The following is an 18,117-nucleotide window of genomic DNA, read 5'->3' on the forward strand; positions in this document are numbered from 1 at the left end:
TTTCATCCTATGGTGTTGGAATAGCCACATACAAAAATAAATAAATAGACAGACCTCCACCCATCCCTCACCCTATGTGCTGAGCTTAACTTGAAGTGTCTCAAGACCCAAATGTAAAGATGGAAAATATAAAACTTCCAGAAGAAAAGATGGGAGAAAATCTTTGCAACTTTGAGGCATGCAAAGGTGTCTTTGATAGAATGCAAAAAGCATTAATTGTAAAATTAAAAATTGATGAATTGGAAATTCATCAAAATAAAAAACTTCTGCTCTTGAAATACCATTTAAGAAATGAAAAGACAAGCTACAGAATGGAGAAAATATTTGCAATACATAGTCTGGCAAAAGAATGGTATCCAGAATACATAAGACAAATAACCTGTTAAAAATGAGCAAAAGATTAAGGCCTTGCTTCCAAAAAAAGATATGCCAGTGGCCAAACAAGCATATGAAAAGGTCTCAACATGATTAGCCATCAGCAAAGTGCAAATTCAAACCACAATGAGATACCACTACATACCCATTCAAATGGCTAAAATTAAAGATCAACAATACTAAGTGTTGAAGAGAATGTGAAACAACTGAAACTCCCACACATTGTTCTTGGGAATACAAAATGATTGTATCATTTTGTATCTTGTGAAAGAATGTTCACAGTAGCTTTATTTGTAATAAACAAGTGTGTCCTTTAATTGTACTGGTGGTTATGCAAGTATATACATTTATTAGAGCTCATAGGGTTGTAACACTTTAAATGGGTGCATTTTATTGTATTTAAATTATGGCAGAATAGAGTTGATTTAACAACAAGGAAAGCTGTTTCTCTTAAAGGTAAACATTAACTTACTATATGACTCAATAACTCTACTCCTAGGTTTTGTTGCAGGAGAAATGAAAATGTGTCTGCAGAAAGAATGTTCACAGTAGCTTTATTTGTGATAAACAAAAACTGAAAACAACCCAAATGTCCATCAAACAATTGTGGTATATTCTGTTTTATTCCATTTATATAAAATGTTAAAAAAAAAGACTAAACTAATGTACAGTAATAAAAAATAGATCAATGGTTATTTATGTTTGGGATGGTAGAGATTATAAAGATGCATAAAACCGATATTTTGGGGGTGACGGAAATATCGTGTACTTTTTTTTTCTTTTTTTTTTTTAAGACGGATTTTTGCTCTTGTTGCCCAGACTGGAGCGCAATGGCGCAATCTCGGCTCACCGCAACCTCTGCCTCCCAGGTTCAAGCGATTCTCCTGTCTCAGCCTCCCGAGTAGCTGGGATTACAGGCATGCACCACCACGCTCAGATAATTTTTGTATTTTTAGTAGAGACAGGGTTTCTCCATGTTGGTCAGGCTGCTCTCGAACTCCTGACCTCAAGTGATCCGCCTGCCTTGGCCTCCCAAAGTGCTGGGATTACAGGCATGAGCCACCGTGCCCAGCCAAGGGAATATTGTGTAATTTAACTGTACTGGTGATTATGCAAGTATTTTGTTAGAGCTCATAGGGTTGCAACACTTTAAATTGGTGCATTTTACTGTATATAAATTATGGCAAAAGAAGTTGATTTAATAACAAGGAAAGCTGTTTCTCTCTAAGATCTCTTCTAGCTCCTGGAAACCTTGACAAATATGCAGAATTACCTTCTCCTCATTATGAAAATTCTTCGCTTTTTCACACTGCCTTAAATTCTCCCAATAAAATGAAATTCATCTATGCTAACTCATCTTCTTTTAGAGCAGGGGTCTTTAACCTTTTGTGTGGGCCTGTTGCCAGCCTGGGAAACCTATGGACTCCTCCAAATAGCACATTTCAAAGAAGGAGGTAAAATAGATAAGATTTCTAAGGAAGCCAGTAATATTAAAATATAGTTACCAAAATATTTTTAAATACTTGCATTTGCAATATAGTAATATATGTACTTTGTTAGCACATTAAATGACAAGATCTAGTGGCAGCCTAAACATTACCATCATTCCAAAATATGAGCTGAAACAATATTTCAAATGCCTGCAACAATTGTAAAGTGATATCAAGATGCATGTGCTTTCTGTTGGTGACAAAGTCACAAGCCACCTGACATCCCTATAATCTATTCCTCACTTGCAATTGAAAGTAATACTTATTTATTTATTTATTTATTTATTTATTGAGACAGAGTTTTGTTCTTGTTGCCAAGGCTGGAGCAATGGCGTGATCTTGGCTCACTGCAACCTCTGCCTCCTGGGTTCAAGCGATTCTCCTACCTCAGCCCCCCAGGTAACTGGGATTACAGACACCCACCACCACACTCGGTTAATTTTGTATTTTTAGTAGAGACAGGGTTTCTCCATGTTGGTCAGGCTGGTCTCAAACTCCTGACCTCAGGTCATCTACCTGCCTAGGCCTCCCAAAGCACTGGGATTACAGGCATGAGCCACCGCGCCTGGCCAATACTAAATTTTAATTAGAAGTTAGTGAGAATGAAGACCTAATTTTCCATCCGACTTCATAGATTGAATTCTGTCTATGGAACCCAGTTTGAGAACCCCTAGTTTAACAAGTGATTTACACCTAGTGTGAAATTTTTAATCAGATTTATTTCAGTTAACTCTGAGACTACCCCCTCACACACAGGAAGGTGAAAAGAAGGCTTGGAGCACCAGCTAGGGAGGACAGGGAGGACAGGAAGGCCTCTGAGGGTGGGCAGAGCTGGAGAATGGACGCAAAATCAAGATGGGAAGGAGCCGCCTCAAGATTTCATGGGTGTGGTGGTGGGGGACCTGGTTTAGCTTCTCTCCTGTTCTAGACAGCTCTACAGAGACAGAGCTCAAGGGAGCGTTTTCTACAGGTTCCCCGTCCGGAATGCCCAGCTCCTATGGGCCCTAACTGAGGCACTAGAGGAAGGATGGACGAGCAGAGCCAGGAGTGGGCACGCCTTTGTGCCCAGCCTTCTAGGTCTCCTGGGTTGGGCAGGACACAGAGCAAAACCCCTTCCCCAACTCACACAGCTCCAGTCAGCTGCTGGCTGTTGGCAGGGCAAGGCCCACCCCCCAGAGCCCACCCCCCACAAGCTGTCCTCTGAGACCTCACTGCCACAAGGGTGAACTCCCACCCAGGGTTCTGGGCTTTGCTTCAGGGTGCTTTGCTCTCTGCCCAGAAAAACATCCCCCAGAAAAGGAAAGACAAAGGGGTGGTTACCTGCTGACCTCCCCACAGGTTTACCCTGAACCGAGGCCCAGAGAGGGGAAGGGACCTGGCCGAGGTCTCCAGGAGGTCGGGGATGTGCTGGTGCCCTGCCAGCCCTGGGCTTCTGCCCTCTCCTCCCCTCAGACCAGCTCCCAGGGGAATGTGAAGAAAGGAGGGCCACAGGCACCAGTGAGGCCACCCTGGGGACAAACAGGTGGTTAGAGGCAGCTCAGACCTCAGACATTATCCAGGGCACTTTTATAAACAGGAAAAATGTGGCCGGGCAAAGAGTAGAGGCTCCTGCTAACACCACCAGCTGGTAGGTGGTGAAACCGCACATTAGCCCTTGGATACGTGATTCCCCAGCCTGACCATGTATTAGAATCACCTGGATTGCTCACTCAAAACATGTCTGCTGGCATCAGGCCTGACGCTACAGAATCAGCAGCTCTGTAGAGGGGCCTAGCATCTGCACCATCAATGAGCAGCCCAGATAGCTCCAGTGTGCAGCCAGGTTTGGGGCCCATGGCACTGAGCCATTCCCAAGTATAGCCTAGGAAGAGATCCTGAGCTGTGGGCAGAGGGAGGGAAGAGCTCGGGGAGAGCATCTGGTTCAAGACACTTGATTCACTTCTTTTTGTTGGTTACATCTAAAACTAAGGATGGGTGGCTGGGGCGGGAGCCAGAATTTAGTCTTAGCTGAGCTGGGGGCCAAGTGGAGTGTGCCCTGAGGCTTGGGACAGGAGCATGTGGGTGGGACTTCCCATCCCTGACCCCCACCCTTATCCTGCCCTTCAGTGGCTATGAGAGATGGCAACCAGGTCACAGGGCTGGACTTTGTCGTCTCAAGCCCCAAGGAGTAAAGCTGGGCAGGGCTTTGGCCTGGATCAATGGCCTTAGGACTCAGCCCACACGTAAGTGGGGTGAGTGCAGCGCAGGACAGCGTCTGTGTTCTCCAGAATCTGTCTTCACTCTGACTCAATCACCAGGGGATTCTGCACCCCGGTCTTAGTAGAAATGCACCTCTGAGTTTCAGTTTAGCTCCCTGCCCATCACGTCACCACAGTGGTCCATGGAATCTGATGCGTCCCGCAGCTCAGCCCTTCCACCTTGCCCAGTGTGCCCTCCTCACCGACAGCTCCCGCTCCCAGCCCCCTGCCTCTCCACTTCTAGGGCTGCAATCTGCTTCTGTCTCCTCCTTGGATCACACACTTGGACCCAGCTCCCTGTTTTGCTCTGGGCTCTGCTTTCTCTTGTGGAGTTGGTGTCACCAAGGTCTCAGGTGAGAAACTCCTTCCTGCCGTGTGACTGTCTGCGGAGAAGTGGGGCACCCTGTGGGGGATGGGATAAAAGGGGTGTCCATGCACTCCAAGCTGTGGCCCCTTGGGTTATAGATCAGTTTTTATCCAAAGACCCTTGTGATGAGTCCAGGCTTGAGTTTAGTCCCTATTCCAAGACATGAGTTTGCATTTCTTCTTTCATTGGAAGATGACATTTCAAAAACTTTCCTTGGCTTTCAAAAAGCTTAGCATTAGATGATAGAAATCAGCTCATGGGCCCCTTGCTTTTAGGTGATGTTTATTCTGTTTCATCCTTGAATATCAATTTGTCGTGCATCCAAACTCGCTATGTCAAACCTTTTGAATGAATGCAGGGTATACGTCTTAAATTAACTCCATAAAACTTGAGTAGCTAGCATAGAAATTTAAGGAGTATGTGAGCAGGACGTTATTTCCCCCAGTTCACCTGGCCTTCTTGCACTCAGTGCTTTCAGCAGCTGTAGGGCGTTTTGTGTGAAGTTATTGACATGAAGGGATGGGAGTGAAATCAGTTATCAGATAACAAACAAGTGCTCTCATGTCTGATGGGTAGAAGAGGGGGCAGTCACTTCCTCAACACGTGAGATGACACTGACTTTGCAGTGAGCTCTCCCCAGGAAAGAGGAGGAGCCCTGGGCAGGCGGGATGGGGAAGGACCCTGCGGGAACCATGGAGGAAGTTTGGAGCTCCCTGCTGGAGCATGCAGCCTGCAGGGCTGCAGACAGAAAACCTCGTTCCGCCCTGGTTTGGAGGTTTGCTGGCTGTGTGAACCTTGACAATGTACCTCTCCTCTCTGAATGTCAGTTTTCTCAACTGTATAAAGGAAACAGTAATAGCTACTTTGGTTGTTTGTGAGGGTCAAACGCAACACACATACAGAAGCCCTATAAAATGCAAATACTTTTATCCTCAGTTCTGTGCAGAGGCCACTGGGTTTACTTATGTATTGATTCTCTCTGTCCTCTCTCCCACCCCTATCCTCCTCCCCACATGCCCTCACCTTCTTGGTTTTGCCCTCCCAGAAGTAGGGGAGTACAGTTATTCGGTTAGAGCAGTTACACTCTTGGGGGTTTGCTTCAGCCAAGAAGACAGTGAGCCGTGGGGATCGTAATTAATGGAGGCAGACTGATTAGAAATGAGCCACTGGATCGGGGTGTTTGCTGATTCATCTTGGAAACACTAGGTCCTGAGTCCCAATCGGCTTCTACCACATTGGTCATTGTTCTACTTCTGCACTGTTCTGTGCAGAAGCACCTGTGTTTACTCATAAACTTACATATTGATTCTGTCTCTTCTCCTACCCCCATCCTCCTCCTCATATCCTAAGTGCTCAGCATGGTGCTAGGTACACAGCAGGCACTAAATAAATGTTTCTTTAATTAAATTCCCATTGATAGCTACACTGTGTGAATGGTACTTTCATGATAGATTTTTCTGTCACCCCTTGAGTTTCTGCAGACATTAGGATTCACAGAGAATGCTGTGTTCCAAGTCAAAATATTCATTATGACACATGCTGTTTGCAATTTCCACAATCCAAGTCATTACCCATAATGTGCTTGGGGAGGAAAACAAACCTCTCTTGGAAATGCTGCCGTGTAGGGGTTGGGGTCAGAGCTCTGCCTCCAAACTCCGTGACCTTTCCTGGAGCACTTCTCTGTTGACCGTGACCAGGAGGCATTCCAGGCTTGGGAGCACCAGCCAGAGGACCCCCAGCCAGATGAGATCCAGTCACACATCTCAGGCAAGGTCAGACAGCCCAGGGACCCCAGGAATGCAGCCCACCAGATGTGTGCTAAGGACAGCATGCTTATTTGGAACGCTGGGTAACCTGTCATGCATTGCAGAAACATGGAGATCCCCCTGTTTGACATTTTCTCCTGTTAATCCCATTTTTTAAAAATAGCTGTGCGGTGTAGAAGTTTCCTCCTGGTCTCATTAGGTGTCTCCTTATAATTGCAGGTTTTAAAGCAAGCTCAAGGCAGAGCCTTTCAGAGAAATTAAACCTAAAGAGAAAGAGAAGAGAAAAAGAAAATGCGTAGGAGCTGGAAAATTGCATGCCTGTGTCTCTAGGGGTGGGCTCAGGCACACAGAGCAGCAGATGGGATCTAAATTGAAGGAAAAATCGAAATGAAACGCAACTCAGACAAATGATCATCAAAGCAAGCCATGAGAATTTCTGGACAAGCCTCTAGCTAGTTATTGCTTGGTGACTTTACCTAGGTAATTGGCTCCATTGTCTCTCCCCAACCCTAGATGTCACTCAGCTGCACCTCCTCTCTTTCCTCTTGGTGGGGGAAGATTTCTAAAAACTGCTTCTTGGGCTGCAGGTCAACGGACATCAGCCAAGAGACAGTTTTCCTCCGCTTTGCCTCCCTGCATCTCCCACCAGCTGCTGCACTTTGATCCAACCATCTGCAAACCTACCCAGGACACATGGGGCTCCTAACCCTGTACTGTCACATAGCAGGTGCTAGTTTTGTTCTGTTTTTAACATGGGCTCATGCTTAGAAGCAACTTCAGCATGGGTGAGTAGAAAGCCATGGGCTTTGGAAGCAGAATGACCTAGAATGGAGTCCATTGCTTGCCATCTTTTTCACCTTAACCTCCATTAGCAAACTGTTGACAACAGTAGCTGAACCCTTAGATTAAGTGAGCTATTCTGGAAGGTTCTGGCACACAACAGGCAGCATTCATGCTAGTTCACCACTTAGCCTCTAGTTTCTCTGGGGTAGGGGCCATATTCAGAGTTTTCAGAACTTCTAGCCCTTCCAGGGCAGCATGAGGCGGTGTGGTCAGTGAGAGGAACCCCATGGGTTTGAGACTCTGCTTGCCAATTCTGTGATCTTGGTCATGGCCCCAATGTCTCTGGACCTATGTCTTCCAGGGGCCATCAGGGACATAGAGACGTCATCCCAGGCCTGCCTGCCCAGCTTAGCTGATCAGGCTGCCATGAATTCTGGGTAGTTACGCATGAAAACAGGTTCTATCAACGTTAAAGGCGAGTCCTAACTCCAACCCAAATTAGTGCCTCAGGACAGCTAAGGAAGGAAGGAAATGAAGGTCCCTGAATCCAGCTTATGTGTGGGCTGTTAAAGGAACCGGAATGCTTACCCAAGGCAGAGGACAGAACCAATGAGATTTGTACTTGAAATAGACAAGACTTTTCTGACCATTAGAGCTGCCTAAAGAAGAGCCAGGCTGTCCCAGTGAGGAATGCATGTTCCATGGCTGCTGGGGCTATTGAGGTAGACACCAGATGAACCTTTCTCATGGGGTCACAGCAGAGTCTCAGGTTCTGGAGGATTTTGTACAGTGCAGAAAGTCCTCCCCGGGCAGCAGCTGGAATCATGTGGGGAACTTGTCAATCCCACTGACGCCAGGGCCACCCCAGACCAACTGAACCAGAATAAGAAGTATGAGCTCTACTCTGGCCCCATCTAATCTTGCTCCAAATGGAGCTCAGAACCTTCCAATGGTTTCCCATTGTACTTAGGACAAAGATTATATCCTTACCAAGGTCTCAAGTCCTCTTGTGGTTCGCTCTCTGCCAGCCTCTTTAACCGCATCTTGTCCCTCTCACTCACTCACAAGTAAGTGTTCTGCTACAGCCTGAATGTTCATGTCACCCCAAAATTCCCAAGTTGAAATCCTCACCTCCAAGGGGATGCTATTAGGAGGCAGGGCCTTCGGGAGATGCTTAGATCCTGAGGGTGGAATCTTCATGAATGGGATTAGTGCCCTGAAAAAGGAGACACCAGAGAGCTCCCTTGTCCCCTTCTGCCATGTGAAGACACACTAAAATGGTCATTTATATACTGGGCATTAGGACCTCACCAGACACCAAGTCTGCCAGTTCCTTGATCTTGGACTTCCTTTGATCTTAGACTCCAGGACTGTGAGAAATACATTTCTGTTGTTTTTAAGCCATCCAGTTTTAGATATTTCATTATAGCAATGCAAATAGATTAAGTCACAGTCCAACTGCTTAGTGCCATGGACTTATCAGAAGTACCCCTAACACATTCACTGTGCCTTTTGACTATTCTTGGTTATTATTTTTTTACTTTGATTAAAAACATAGGTGCACTTGTTACTTACTTCAGGTGTTGTCTAGGACCAGGGGCAGCCAATTATCCCATTACAGAAACCATGTACTTGGAATACTGATTGTGCTTCAGAATAATCCAATTCCATTCACCTGAGTAAAGTAAAAGACTTTATATTCCTGTTAAGATCAGGCATACGAAATGACTGAGTTCTTATTCCGGGAGAGGCTAGCTTGGGTGGCTAGTGGATGGAAATTCTACCCACTGAGATCAAGAACTGGGGGGTGGGAATGATGGGTCCATTTGGAGATACGTTGAGTCTGAGGTGGGTGAGTCCAGGGGATAGTTGGTTGATGGCTTTAAAGGAGGGACAGTTGTAGGATGGGGAGGAAGATTTGGGAATCATCTAGATTTAGGAGGTGGTTGAAGCCATCCAAGTGAAGAAATTACCCAGGAACTGTGTGTTGATTGAGAGAGACTCAGAGAACCTCTGATGGGGCAGGTGGAGAGAGAACAGGGAGACTGAGAAGATGCAGAGAGATGAGCAGTGAGAACTAGAAGGAGCAGGGCCACAGGAACCCAGGTTGGAAAAGCTTCAAGACTGAAAATGGGGCAGAAAGCATCAGTAAGGTGAGGCCACCTCCATGATGTTGGACAGCGGAGTGAAGACAGTGGGGACTATGGGACTGTGTCAGGTGTGGTTTGGGCAGCAGCGTGGTGGTGAAAGTCAGCACAGAAGACAGGAACATGAGTGAGAGATGAGGAAGGACCTCATCTCCCATTGGATGGATAAAAACTGGCTGCTCCTCTCTGCACACTAAACGAAGTGAAAAAGAAAAAGAAAGACAAATGTTTCTATTTTTCCAGCCCCTCACTGGCCCGGAGGCCTCTTCTTCCAGCCTCATAGATTGTATGTGTGTGTCTGTGTGCCTGTGTGTGTGTTGTGTTTAAGTCACTTTGCTTTCAGATTCTTGCCTTAAAACTATTTAAAACAGGGGGAAAAAGTAATGCATCCTGTATCAGTCAGGGTTTTCCAGAGAAATAGAACCAATATATATTAAGAAATGTATTTTAAGGAATTGGCTCATGTGATTCTGGGGGCGGCAAGTGTGAAACTTAGGCTGGAAACCCAGGCAGGAGTTAATGCAGTTGTCTTGAAATAGAATTTCTTCTTCTCTGGGAAACCTCAGTTTCAACGGATTGGAGGAGACTTTGCCCCATTATTGAGGATAACAGTCTTTCTGATTTAAAGTCAACTGAGAGTATATGCTAACCGCATCTACAAAACACCTTCACAGTGACACCTAGATTCTTGTTTGATTAAACAACTGGCTACTATCGCCTAGCCAAGTTAATGCATAAAACTAAACATCATACATTCCAAATCATGCAAACTGCTAATTTCCTGCCTAAGCTTTATCACTGACGGTCTCATTTCTGTTTAACAAGATGAGAACAAGAAGATGGAAAATGGAACAAGAAGAACCTGGGGTGGGGTTCCTCCTCTGGCCCCTCAATAAGTCATGGGATAGCAGCGGTGGCTGCAATAACCGTCCTTTCTAAGTCAATGTTCAGCTCTTTCAAAGAATTCACCTCCCATGGCCTATAAGGCACAAGGAAACCTCTTATTTACCCAACAGTTACAGTCTCGAAGTGACTTTCTCCACGACGTGTTAGCAAGCAGGCACCTTCTCAGTGACAAACATCGGGGAGCTGATAAAACGCTCCCTCCCACGCTCGGCTCTCGTGGTGGATTGAACAACGCTAAATTGGTTCAGAGTACTTGTTGGTATTTCCCCATCTTTTTTTAATGTCAACCTATTAGCAGCTCGAAGGGATGTCCCTTGAGGGCCACACATGTATTATCACAATGGAAGTGAGACGCCACTGAGACGCCCACACAGCTGCCTCTAGAAGATGTTCTTCCTTCCAACTGAACCTGGCCACTCGGGAGTGAACCAGACAGCAGGACCGGCTCCCCCTTGTGTGGGTTACTGGCTTCAGATCAGGTGGAGCAGGTGGAGGGGCTGCAGGGGGTTCCTTGGGATTCCTGTTTGCCCACACCTCACCAGTGGGCTTGCTGCCTTTACCTCTATGCAGCCGTTCTTCTTTTCCTGGCTTTTAAAATCAGTAGGTCCCCAGTGAGCAGCCCCCACAAGAGGTGTGGTTGCAAGTCTACCTGGGACGTGGATCTGAATTTCTTGATCTGACCTACTGGAAAGACCCAGTGGCTTATGGGAAAATGATCAGCCTTGGGCAGTTAAGGGCCCCCCTGGCTGATTCCCACAGTTGTTAAGCAAACATAATTTACCTACTTTTTCCTCTTTGGTACTCTCATTTCAGTGTTACAAGAAAAGAGTAGCACCTCTGATCCTGTTGCAATAAAAAGTTTGAGATTAGGGCTGGACACAGTGGCTCAGGTCTATAATCCCAACACTTTGGGAGGCTGAGGCAGGCAGATTGCTTGAGCCCAGGAGATCGAGACCAGCCTGGGCAACATGGTGATACCCCGTCTCTACAAAAAAATACAAAAATTAGCTAGGCGTGGTGGCATGCACCTATAGTCTCTGCTACTCAAGAGGCTGAGGCAGGAGGATACCTTGAGCCTGGGAGGTAGAGGTTGCAAAGAGCCATGTTTGCACCACTGCACTCTGACTTAGGTGACAAATTGAGACCCTGTCTTAGAAAAAAAATTTTTTTTTGGTATTACTGAGATAAAATGTGGATCCATTAGACCAGGGATTCCTATCTGGGGATCCACAGACATTTTGGGATTTATTAATTTGGATGGTGAAAAAACATTTCTTTGTTTTCACTAACCTGAAATGTAGCATTCCTTCAATCATGAATGTGACACTCAAAAGTAGTATTAGCAGTGCCTATGACTTTGTCACTAATAATAATCATAGATATTTTAATATCACATTACAGTTGCAGAATTCTAAAAATAGCATTTCTGCTCATCACTTCAAAATTACAGCAATATGAGTTGGTTGTCAGATCTTGTGTTGAATGCATTAATAATGAAGCACACATATTAATATATGACACATTCGTTTACTAAAATATTCTTGTAATTGCACTTTAAGGTAGTGGGTTTCCTTTCTAATCCTATATACATTGTTTTGTGCATTGTAAAATATGTTTTTGAGGAATCCATGACAGAGAAGAGATTCCGAACCTCTGCACTGGGTCAATGGTTTTCAAACTGCAAGAATAATCTGAGCAGTCATGGGTCATAAAATCAACTAGCAGGTTGTGACAGCCCTTTTAATTTAGGAAAAAACATGAATAAAATAGAAAACATCAGAGTACGTCATGTACTAAAGATACATCAAATCTTTATCATTGTGTGGTAAGTGTGTACCAGTTGAAATGTTTAAAAATCATGAGCCTAGACAGCAAGGGTTGTAAAGACAGGAATCATGTCTATATTTTGCTCATCATTGCCTATCTCTGTAGTACTTAGAACAGTGCTTGAAGGTAGTATGTGTATTTGACTTCTCCAGAAAGATAGAATCAATAGAAAATATAGACATATGAGAGGAGATTTATCAGGAGAATTGGCTCAGGCGATTATGGAGAGGTCCCACAATAGACCATCTGCAAGCTGGAGACCCATGGATGCCACTAGTGTGGCTCAGTCCAAGTTCGAAGGCCTCAGAACCAGGAAAGCTGATGGTGTCACTCTCAGTTCATGGACAAAAGCCTGAGAACCCAGGGAGGGCTGGTGTAAGTCCTGGAGCCCAAAGGCCGAGGAGCCCAGAGTTCTGATGTCCAACGGCAGGAGAAGAAGGGTTTCCCAGCCCCAGGAGAGAGAGAGAGAGAAAGAATCCACCATTCCTCTGCCTTTTTTTCTTTCCGGGCCTCCAGATGACTGGATGGTGCCTACCCACATTGACGGTTGATCTTCCCCACTCAATCCACTGACTCACACACCAATCTCCTCTGGAAACACTCTCACAGATCCACCTAAAATTAATGCTTTACCAGTTCTCTAGGTATGCCTTAATCCAAACAAGTTGACACCTAAAATTAACCATCGTGATCGGTGCTCAAATATCTGTAGACTAGAGAAATGAAAAACCAAAGGGTAATACCCATATGTTACATTTCTCCATCAAAAATGGTTATAAAGCCATTCAAGAAAGATTCTTTGAGTACTTACTGTGGGCTGGGGGATGCGCCTGGCAATAGAATTTCAATAGCGAAGAGTCTCAGTTTATCCTCATGAAGCTTTCAGTCTAGCAGAATAAACAACTTCATTCAGTTTGGGCCAAAAAACAACAACAACTACAACAACAACAACAGAAACCACCAAAACTGTGAGTCTAAGGTGTTAAACACATATTTTCTGGGTACATTCTGTTTACAAAGACACTGAGGGGGGCTTGAAGATGCAGGTCATGTGGCCTTTTATGTGGAGGAGCCCATGGACCCTGATGAGAGAGCAACCAGGTTCCCATGCGGCCAAAATGCAAGGCAGAGAAAGCCAAGGGTCACAGAGGAAGTCCAGCAAGAAGCAGCACTCAGCAGCTACCAGAGAAATTCCAACAAGCACATATCTTAGGACAATCATCACCCTCTTGTACAATATGAGAATTGCTGACTGTTTTAACAGCAGTCATCCCCTCCTGGCTCAGATGCTACTGTCATCTGGCTGTCCAGCTCCATCTTTCCCTTTTTAGTCCAAATATTAAACATTTCTTACTTTTTGTACATTCAAAATATCTACACTTGTCTAGACATTTTGTATTTCATTAACTCATTTCTTTTTATACCTCATACCTTCTTCCTGGGGTTAGTTCCCTTCTTCTTGAAATATATTCACTAGAAGTTCCTCAGTGGGGATATTTTGGTGGTAACAGGGTCAGGACTAGAGTGAGGCACCTGGGAGGTAAAATTAAAGTAAATGTGTCTGTATTAGTCTGTTCTCATGCTGCTGATAAAGACATACCCAAGACTGGGTAATTTATAAAGGAAAGAGGTTTAATTGACTCACAGTTCCATATGGCTGGGGAGGCCTCACAATCATGGTGGAAGATGAAGAAAGAGCAAAAGCACATCTCACACGGCGGCAGGCAAGAGAAAGCTTCTGCAGGGAAACTCTGCCTGATAAAACCATCAGATCATGAGACTTATTCACTAACACAAGAGCAGCATGGGAAAGATCTGTCCCCATGATTCAAACACCTCCCACTGGGTCCCTCCCATGACACATGGGAATTGTGGGAGCTACAATTCAAGATGGGATTTGGGTGGGGACACAGTCAAACCATATCAGTGTTAACCCTCACTCTCAGGCACTAACCCTGAACTTCACATCACTGAGAATGAGTCCTTCTCAAATTTTATGTTCCTGGCACCTCACTTGCCTCACCTAGTTCCAGCCCTGGGTGGTAAATGTTCTGTTTTTATCTAAATGTAGGTAATTCACTCTTATTCTTGAAAGCCAGTTTCACTGGCTGTACAAGGTTAACGTTCTTTTATTTATCCAAAGATGTTTTTCCACCATCTTCTGGTTTCCAAAGATGATGGAATAATATTTTTGCTGCTATTGAGAAATCTGCTCCCAGTATAACCATTTTTTTCTTTTGTTAGTAATTTGTCTCTTCTTTCAGGCTGCTTTAAGCCATTCTATTTGTCTTTGGTGTTGAGGTTTAACTGTCACACATCTAGAAGTGGATTCTTTTTAGCAGACCAGCTTAAAGGATTTAGGAAGTCAGATTTTTTTCCTCCCATTATTTGCAGAAAATGTTCAGCAGTAATCTCACTGAGTATCATTTTTTCCCCACTCTTGCCACGATCTCCTTTGAACTTCAAAACCTATCTATTGACTAGCCTTACTTTACCTTCTACACATCTTAATTTCTCCTTTATATATTTTTTTATCTCTTTTTGTCCCTCTGATGGTTTCTGGGTAAATCCTTCAGATCTATCCTCCATTTCACAGTGATCTCTTCTGCTATGTCAATTCTGATCTTAAACTTCTCCATTACGATCTTAATTCCTATAATTATATTTTCAATTTTCAAAACTTACTCTTGCTTCTGGTCATTTTTTATAGTCTCTTGTACCTTACTTATGTTAACAGTGCCTTCTGTATATACTTACTGTATATTTGGAATTCATACTTTCATTATTAAGTGTCATCGTAGCTCTGTTCTGTTATATGTTGTTTGGTCTGACTCTGGCTCAAAGGGCTTGTCGTCTTGCTATTTTGTAATTATTGTAAACAGGGGACTCAAACTTACTGGCAGTCTTTTTCTGGGAGTTCTGAGTAACCGCATAGTGTGTCCTTCCTGGGAGGACTTGTGTTTGTTCCTGCCAAGCTCTTAGGGGGCACTGAGGACCTGGGTGCACTGTAAATGAAATGTTCTCCCTTAGGTCTCTTGAATTACACCAATGATGTAACTTCTCCAAGGGTCAACTTCTGGTAACAATATTTTAGGGGAGGCTTTAAAAAAGATAGTCCCTCTTGGAGCCAAGTATGAAGTAGATGGGTTTCCATGGCGTTCAATGCTATTGGGCAGGTTTTCTCCTAGTTCATACATGATCTCATAGCATGACTTTACTGAGTCCAGTCTTTAAGCAGGAACATCCCAGTCTGGGCCCCTGCCCTGCACAGAGCACAGAAGCTCTGGGCCACGTGGAGCAGCAGGTGACCCGAGTGAGTGGCAGCAGTGATGCTGTGCTCTGTTATCTGCCTGGTCTCCAGCTCCCACCCTATCCCTAGCCTCAGGAACTGTCTGCTACTACAAAAGGTTCAAGAGCTTTGAAACTGAGTTGGGGACATAACTAAGAGCTAATCTGTCACCTGTGCCTATATTTCTGGGCACAATTCATTTAGTCCATAAAAATTTATCAAGCACTTGTGATGCACAGTTACATGTTCTAGACACAAATGAATCTATCAGTGAACAAACCTGAGAAAAATCCCTGTGATTATAGAGCTTACTTTCTAAAAGGAGGAGAAAGACAAAATGAATGGAGAAATTACATAGGAAGTTATAAAGCAAGAAATATGTTAGAAAAAAACTCAACCAAAGAAGGGATTTGAGACTGCTGAGGGCACATATTTCAAAAGGTGCTTAAGAAAGACCTCTTTGAAAAGATATCATTTAAGCAAAAACCTGTGAGGCAATGAGCCATGCTAATGTCTGGGAAGAGAAAACAGCACTTGCAAAGGCCCTGAGGTTGGAGTGGGTTTGGCATCCTTGAGGCTGGAGTGGAGAAGCGAGGGAGTGTGGAATGAGGGCAGGAAGCTGGGGAGGTCAGAGGATGCCAGACCATGAAGCCCCTGTGGACCATGGCAAGAACTCACGTTTTCCTCTGCATGAGATGAGAACCCCTGGAGAGATTGGGGCATAAGAGTGACATGGTATGACTTAGATTTAATGGGATTCCTCTGGCTGTTGGGTTGGGAATAGATGAAGGTAGAGTGGAAACAGGGGGAGAGGTCAGGGGAAGCCAAGGTCTTGACTAAAGTTGATGGAAGCTCAAAGCAAGGTGGTATTTCTCAATGGGACTCTGGGTCTATTTGGGAAGAAGTACCAAGGGAAGGAGCTAAGGAATTGGCTTGGGGTATGAGAGAAAGAGCCAAGTCAAGTAGAACAGCTCTAGGGTTTTTGCCGAAACAGAGGAAGGATGGAATTGCCACCCACATAATGCGGGGAAAACTGCGGGAGGAACAGACTGGGTGAGGAGAAGTCTGGGCTCAGCTTGTTGAGTTTCAGATACACAAAGGACAGTTAAGTGGGCCTGTCCAGGAAGCAGATGGATGGGCAGGTCTGAGGTCAGAAGAGTGGCCTGGGCACAGGACAAATTTTGAAGTTATCAATGTTGTGAGATCAAGTAGAGTTAGAGAGAAAAGGTCTAAGGTCTGAGTCCTGACCTCCCGACTCCACACCCACTTGCAACAAGAGCTTTGAGTGCCTAATGCAATAATAGTACCTGGACATGGGTATAGTCTTTTAAAATAATGCAAAGTTCTTTTGCAACTACTATTTTGGCAGACACCACGCGAATACTTTTTGTGTGGCCGATTATAAAAAGCTTCACAATCCAGTCCTAACCCATCTTCCCAGCCTTGCTGAGTCCCCCTAGCCAGCCCGATTTCTGTCTAGTTCTGATCAGGCCATTTCCACGTGCTCCTCCTTCTCTTGGCAAACTCTCTTTCCTCTCCTGAAAGAGCTCTTCCCATTTCACCGATTGGCAAGTGATGTTTTGTTGAGAAGTAGATCACCAGGCACCTCCTGGATGAGCTGAACTGCAGGGGCTGAGGGTATCAGGAGACAAATTCAACCTAGGCTAGGACAAGAGTGGCAGGGAGGCATTACTGGCTTAAGTAACCAAACCACAGATAGAAAGGAGAGGTACCTGGCCAGGTGACAGATCATATGGCTATCAACACTGACCAGGGGGTGGGCACTATGGGAAGACAGATGTCCCATTCTCTTTGTGGCTAGAAGGAGCCAGCCTTGGCAGAAAGGAAGCTAAGCAGGTCTCTCCAAAAAGCCCAAGACTTTCCTGAGATCTGGGCATGGAGGTGGCTCTGTTCGTGGCTCTATAGCACTTTGCAGCATTAGGCACCACGTGCTCCAATTCCTGGTTTACTTATCTGCTTCCCCACTTAGACTGTAAGCTTCTTGCAGAAAAGGACCGCATTTTGTTCAGCAGCATGTGGACTAGTGCCTAGCAAGGAACAGGTGCTCAGTATAAAGGTTTACAGAGAAACAACAGAAATAGATTCCTAGATAGAGAATGTATGCTGGAGACATTCATACTACAGACACACAGATATTGCCTCAATTTAACTTCCTCTCCCAAACAAGTCAGAGGGATTCCAACATCAAGAGGAATGCCTTGCACCTGACAGCACTAAGACCAAGCTCCATGAGACCCAGGTCATATCTCCTACTTTGCTTTTGCTACAGCCCAAGCATTTGCACCCAAGCCATTTGCATTCACATAACTGAAGTTGTGATGCAGTCTAGCCTCTGAGCTTAAAAGTTAGCAGATGCCAGCCACCAAGTGGCCCCAGCCAGCCTTCAACAGTGAGGTCCCATTCACAGGAGGATTTGTGGTCAGCCAGCCTGGTTCAGGCTGTTCTGGAGATTTGTCCTGCGTTAACCCCAGGGACATGTGGTGGCGTTTCACTGTGATTCCCAGGGGTACACCGTTTCTCATAAGACAGGACCGACTATGCACATGTCTGGATACACACCTGCACACACACACCACACACACCACACACCACACACCACCTATCTGTGATCTCACAGAAGAGCCCCTGACTGTCCCTTGACTGCAAAGGAAAGGTGCCGAGACTTCAGAAGCTCAGTCTGTCTCCATCCTAGGCTCTATGGAAACCTTGAAACCAGACATGACTAGGCCAAGCTGAGTTATTTGTCTCCTAAATAAGGAGCTACATCAGAGATCAGCCCCTGGGGCTATGAGTTAATAAGAGAAGAACTTTTCAAATAGACATGCACAACACTTCTCTGCCTTTAAATACTGGGGCCGTGTAGACTAGGGACAGTTCCTTCACGGAGAACCAAATGTACTTCTATGTCA

The 18,117-nt window shown here is 45.0% G+C and overlaps 1 long non-coding RNA gene across 3 annotated transcripts; it reads right to left on the bottom strand.

The window, feature by feature from the left end:
- Window positions 1-601: 601 nt before the first annotated feature.
- LOC105378532 (uncharacterized) lies at window positions 602-13,583 on the bottom strand. Of its 3 annotated transcripts, none has more exons than XR_946421.4 (5): window positions 13,544-13,583; window positions 13,330-13,431; window positions 12,710-12,785; window positions 8,594-8,693; window positions 602-6,498 (listed from the first exon to the last, which is right to left on the bottom strand). It is a non-coding gene; the product is annotated as an uncharacterized LOC105378532 (long non-coding RNA). The 3 variants fall into 3 exon arrangements; XR_946422.2 differs by lacking the exon at window positions 602-6,498 and adding an exon at window positions 6,543-8,234; XR_001747621.1 differs by lacking the exons at window positions 602-6,498; window positions 8,594-8,693 and adding an exon at window positions 11,221-12,611.
- Window positions 13,584-18,117: the final 4,534 nt, after the last annotated feature.

The sequence above is a fragment of the Homo sapiens genome, chromosome 10, assembly GCF_000001405.40.
Source record: "Homo sapiens chromosome 10, GRCh38.p14 Primary Assembly".
Classification (NCBI taxonomy): Eukaryota; Metazoa; Chordata; class Mammalia; order Primates; family Hominidae; genus Homo; species Homo sapiens.